Source organism: Homo sapiens, chromosome 15 (genome assembly GCF_000001405.40).
Source record: "Homo sapiens chromosome 15, GRCh38.p14 Primary Assembly".
Lineage (NCBI taxonomy): Eukaryota > Metazoa > Chordata > Mammalia > Primates > Hominidae > Homo > Homo sapiens.
Window position 1 is genome coordinate 52,527,589 of NC_000015.10, and position 6,000 is coordinate 52,533,588.

Below are 6,000 nucleotides of genomic sequence, written 5' to 3' on the forward strand. Positions count from 1 at the left end.
ACAACAGCTTGTAAGGGATGCAAGGCAAGTATAATTAACTGCATTTACTCATTAGGAAATCGAACCAGAGATGTTAAGTGACTTGTCCAAGGTCACAGTTAGTAAGTCCCGGCTTGAATCCAGGTCTCTTGATGCCCAGTCTTCTTTCCTCTACAAAACACACTGCAACTTGGGCCCTGGACTTCAGTGACATTTGGAAACAATGATTCCAGTGATTACAGGACCCTAAATGAAAGTTCTGTTGCAAAAGCTAATGTGAAAAGGCAACTCTATTAACTGCATGTAGAAGTAATCAATATCTGGCAAAATATCTACCTACACATGAGTGTACAGTATAAAATGCCATGATTACATATATTCACAAAGGTCATCACAAATCTGCGCAGCACTCAAGTGACAGTTCTCCATAATATGTCATTCAGAGATCGCCAGACCCTGAGTATATTGATGTCAGTCTAAGAAAAGACTGCCACTTCCCTTAAACCAAACCCAGAAGGGAAAGGCTTGCCCCAGAGGATGGTAAAGACATGGAGCCTAACAAGGCTCTGCGGGATTACACGCAGGTTGCAAACTCCCAGCGATAAATGAGTACCGACCCTCCCAGCCGGTGAATCAGCTCGCGTTCATCCGGCAGCATCTTTCCCCGGGGCTCGCCACCCCCAGCGCAGCTAAACTGGGGAGCTAAAGGTGATACGGCCACCGTTTGCAGGATTCAAAATAACCTCACAGAAAGGCTAGCTGGCGGTAGAAGCGGCACTGCATACCAACACAAGACGTTATTTTAAGCGCGTGTCCCCACGAGAGAACCCATCCGATCTACTGGAGCAAGCATCTCCCACCCGCCGGGAATTTTCCAAAGCCAAGCAGGAGGGGAGGCACGCCCGCCCTGCTAAATCCACATGGGCCCCCTTTCCACTCCGAAGCCCGCTCTGCCCCCAGCTCGAGCAGCGCGGCAGGGGCCTGGGAGACCCCCGAGGCGGGCCACCTTCCGCCGCCTTCACCATCTCGCCCGAAAGAGGAAGGTGCCGCAGCGGGCGACCGGCTGGTAGGGCCGAGGGTTCTGAGGCGCTGAAGGGGATGGCGCTGGTGGGGCTCGCCTGGGCCCGGCGCTCCCGCCCCCTCCCCAGCCTGACAGCTGGCGGCGAGGGCCGCACAGCCCCAGTCCTCGACGCCGGCCGCGGGGTGCCTTACCTTTGTGTAGAGCTCCGACGCAGCCATGGCGGGCCCCGCGCGCCTACGCCCCCCGCCTGTGCGGAGGCCGCACCTCGCCTGGGCGGCCGCCCGAGCGGACTAGGAAGCGCCCGCAGCCGCCGGCAGGGAGCAGGGCAGGGCAGGGCCGGGCGGGGAGGGCCGCGCGGGGCGGGGCGGGGCGGGGCGCCTCAGGCGCTGGCCGCCCGCAGGGGCCTCGCCATCACTCCCGGGCTCGCCGCGAGCAGCCGCGAGCGCTCCACCTGCCCGGGGTCCTAGGGGTCGCCGCCGCCGCCGCAGCCACTTCGGCGGCCCGCGATGCTGCCTCCGCTGCCGCCGCCGCCACCGCCGCCGCCCTGTGCATTATGGGAGCGGGAGGAGGCTGCGCTCCAGCGCTGCCACCGCGGCTGCTCTGGGCTCTCTCGGGCTCACGCTGCCTCCCATCGGCTACGAGCACAGAGCATCATCATCATCAGCCTGCCAGCCGGCCCCGCCGCCGCCTCGCGCCCTGCCGAGGCCCGGAAACCCGCCCGGGACGTGAGCCCCGAGGGCGCGGCACACCCCGGGCGCCCCCACCCCGAAGCGAGCCCGGGGCCCTCTGCTGCGGAGCCTAGCTCCCGCGGTAGCGCAGCCATGGCACGGGCTGTTACTGTGTCCGAATAAACGATGGGAGCCTCCAGGCTGCTCCTCCCGTCCTTCCAAGCATTCCTAGGGAGAGGATTTAGGGGAAGCCCTCTTGAAAGACTGTAGAATAACCCAGGACTGTAGAAGAGCCTTGTCAGCAGCAGTGACCCGGGAGATGGGCAATGCAGGACCGGGAATTTCAGGTTAAGGTTGATCACCAAGGTCATTCCGAGCACCTCGATGTCTGCAGCAAAGTCGTCTCCCGATACCAGAGGGCAAGGGCCGCTTCTAAGCTACAGAAACTTAAGTGACTTTGAAACGAGATAGCCCGGGGACAGCCCAGGTGCCTCTTTCCTAGACCTGTGCGTTTGCGGAGATGCAACTACCCTTCTGTCCCAGCCTTCTTCCCGTCCTGTTCGCTGCTGGTGATTGTCGGCTCCATGGTGGCACCTGAAGTTTATCCGGTTGCCACCTGAAAATGACGGAGTACTTACATGGAAAATCTGTATTACAGTTTAACTCAACATCAAAAGGGCAAAGCCGCCCTCACTCTCCTCACGGTGATCCTTGAACATCCAGCACAAGAATGTGGTCTTTCTACTCCCAACCCTGCGCTGTCTTCATCCTCTATCTTCTCCCCACCCTCATTGTCGTTTCTGGTTGAATAATCTTCATTCTTTATTGTTGTCGTTGTTGTTGTTGCTGTTTTTGTTTGTTTAATCCCTGCCTCTTTGTAGTGCCCTCATCTCTCGTTTCTTTGAACTACAACTGGTCCCCAGTGCCTGTCATGGTAATCTGGTAGACCATTTCTATCACGAACAACTCTCATGGCTGAGGCCCCCGGTTGTGTGTGTTGTGTGCGTGTGTATTTGGAGAAAGACCATTCACTGAAAGGAACGGGGCCAGTCCTTACTCCGTGGAACTCAGACCTCTCCTCTTCGCCCACAATCCCCTCAGAAATGCTAGAGGGAATGTCTACTGAGTCGAAAGTCCTACAGATTTGTCTCTGTTCCTTCCCATTGCAAAACCAAATCGCTTTCATGTTTCTGGGACCCACTCTTTCTTCACCCAGACATAAAAAGAGAAAACGTGTGCAGTGACGACCAGCGGAACGGAAGGAGCACTGGACTGAGATTTAGGAGGCCTGGCTCCTACGCCTTGCAGTTTCTTCATGTCGTGTGCAAGGTGGTAACCACTCTGCCTGTTTTCTCACCTTCAAATAATACCTACCTCTCAGGACTGTCGAGAAATGCTGAGTATACTGAGAAAAAAAAAAAAACTAAAAAACTGGACGAGTTCTTGTAGGTGTGAATGCTTTCTTCGTTTTCTATTTTTTTCAAGTGATGAGGAGAAAACAGAAAGGGGAATTATCCTCTTATAAGTCCAGAACGCATGCATTCAACCACTCAAATATTTGGGGCCATACTAAGAGGAAGGTAATGGAGATGAGGAGGAGAAGAGTTTTGTATTTTTATTTATTGATTGATTGATACTGAGTCTTGTTCTCTTGCCTAGGCTGGAGTCCAGTGGCACAATCTCGGCCCATTGCAACCTCTGCCTCCCAGGTTCAAGCAATTCTCATGCCTCAGCCTCCTGAGTAGCTAGGATTACAGGTGTCCACCACCACGCTCAGCTAATTTTTGTATTTTTAGTAGAGACGGGGTTTCACCATGTTGTCCAGGCTGGCCTCAAACTCCTGACCTCAGGCTATCCGCCCGCCTCAGCCTCCCAAAGTTCTGAGATTACAAGAATGAGCCACCACGCCTGGCCGGGTTCTGTATTCTTGACCTTACTTTACTTTGTTCAGAAAAAAAGCAGAGTAAAAAGCCAGAAGCAGCAAAGGGAAGCCCCGAGGGGTGGCCTCCGCTCACTTCCATGTATGCGTTCATAGTCCCAAGCACCCTGTCACTAGTGAGGTGTAGAAATCAGCAATAGTTACAGCTTCTAAGGGTTTAGGATCCCCCTCTCAGAGTAGCCAGAGGGTAGTGTATTCTTAAGTTGTTAAAGTTTTCCGTTATTGCTTTATTATTGGGAGCATTTTTATGTAGGGTGTTTTCAAATGAAAACAATGTCTAGGTTTATATGAAAAATTCCATTCCTTATTTTCAACAAATATTGGAAGCTATCATATGCCAGACATTGTTCTACATGTTGAGAATTCAGGCATGAGCAAAACAGATGAAGAGCCCTGACCCCATGGAGCTTCCATTCTAGTCAGGGAGAAAGACAATGATAGAGTTAGAAGGTAAAGTTGGTAAGTGGTGTATTAGTTTCCTAGGGCTGCCATGATAAAGTAATACAAACTGTGCTTAACCAACGGAGAGGTATTATCTCACAGTTCTGGGGTCTAGAAGTCTGAGATCAAAGGATTGGGAGGGTTGGTTCCTTCTGAGGACTGTGAAGCAGAATCTGTTCCTTGCCTCTCTCCTGCCTTCTGATAGTTTGTGGACAATCTTTGGCATTTGACATTTTTTAGCTTTTGCTACATCCCCCAATCTCTGCCCTCATCTTCATGTGGCAGGCTCCCTGTGTGTGCGCATGTCTCTATATCCAAATTGTTCCTTCTTATAAGGACACAGTCATAATTGAATTAGGGCCCAACCCACTGCCCTCATCCTAAGTTGATCATCTGCAAAGATGGTGTTTCCAAATAAGGTCACACTCACAGGGATGGTGGGGTGGGGAGAGGTCAGAACTTCAACATTTTTTGAGGGACACAACTCAAACCAGAACAGTATGCAATGAGAAAAAACATACAGAGAAGAAAGAATTTGGGGGAAGAAGCAATTTGAATTAGGGTAGTCATCAAATTCCAATTGAATTATTTTTAATTGAGGGCTTATTATATGTCAGCACTTAAGATAATAAAGATATAGAGATGAGTGAAACATGATCACTGGCCTGGAGGAGCTCACTGCAAGGGGTGGCTGGAGGGGTAGCAGAAGAGGCAGTCCTTGCTGCACGGTCATACAAAATAGTAACTAATTCTGTAAGATTGGCCCAATTCTAGAAGTAGAAGCCCAATGCTGTGTTACTGGTTATATATAGTACATCAGTTGAGATTGGCATATCCTAATATTTAATGCTTCAGAGGACTAGGTACTGGGCATAGGTGACATTTAAGTCAGCGAGAAAGAACTCCAAATAGTTCATTGAGAGATCTAAGTGGTGATATGGATGGGAAGTCGTTTGTGGTTGAAGGACATGTGGGGGAACAGCATGAGGAAATGAAGCTATGGAACAGAAAAAAGTCAAGAATACAGTAAGGCTAACTGAAAACACTTTTGAAAGATGGGAGGCAAGTATCAGGAACTGCTTGGCTTCCCACCTCTTCCCTTCCCCAACTCCAGCTAGTTATTCTAGCTGCCCCTCACCTGTGAGCTTAGGCAACCCTAGGAAAGGAGGATAAAAAAGTGCTGTACTTAACTCAAAAGGTACAATACTTAATTCAATATCAAATAAATAATATATGTGAAAATTTTATGTGCAAAGTATATTGTAAATGTAAATTATTTTATTTTTTATTTTTTGAGACAGAGTCTCACTCTGTCGCCCAGGCTGGAGTGCAGTGGCATGATCTCAGCTTGCTACAATCTACACCTCCCTCTCGGGTTCAAGCGATTCTCCTGCCTCAGCCTCATGAGTAGCTGGGATTACAGGCACGTGCCACCACACCCAGCTAATTTTTGTATTTTACAGTAGAAGCAGAGTTTCACTGTGTTGGCTAGGCTGGTCTTGAATTCCTGAACTCAAGTGATCCACCTGCCTTGGCTTCCCAAACTGCTGGAATTATAGGTGTGACTCACTGCACCTGGCCTATTACTATTATTTTTATTCCCGATACCTATTACTATAATTCTGGATTCTAATCTTGTGTGTCCTAATGTATCTGTCTGATCTCTGGTCTTTTGTACCCCAGTCTTCTAGCCTGTGTCCTGACCACCTGCTATTTGACCAGCTTGTGTATCTCTATGCTTAGCTCCATGGCACCTGATTGCTTCAAACAGTTGATTTTTTTTCTTGGATCTTTAAATACTTCCAGCCCAATTCCATAGACTTCATATTGCCTTGATCTTCCTGAATGACATCATGTTATAGTACTTGTGGACCCCCTCTCATCCTGTACCTCCAACACCCACAGACACACACTTGCCTTACATGTCGTGGTGATGGAACCTCTTGAATAGT

General features: G+C 50.1%; 1 protein-coding gene across 10 annotated transcripts in view, besides 1 other annotated feature; it reads right to left on the bottom strand.

Moving 5' to 3' along the window:
• The window catches only part of MYO5A (myosin VA), a 221,768-nt gene extending 220,306 nt beyond the window's left edge, over positions 1–1,462 (bottom strand). For 5 of the 10 annotated variants that reach the window (XM_047432544.1, XM_047432543.1, XM_047432540.1 and 2 more), the window contains 1 exon segment: positions 1,192–1,462. In XM_047432544.1, coding sequence (XP_047288500.1) covers positions 1,192–1,218 — 27 coding nt within the window. In that variant the 5' untranslated portion in view covers positions 1,219–1,462. 10 annotated transcript variants of the gene reach the window in all.
• Positions 942–1,821: a silencer, noted in NCBI's record as "silent region_6447". NCBI's record gives its function as "represses an Ori minimal core promoter by ATAC-STARR-seq in GM12878 lymphoblastoid cells {active_cell/tissue: GM12878}" and the evidence as "EXISTENCE:reporter gene assay evidence [ECO:0000049][PMID:35858748]".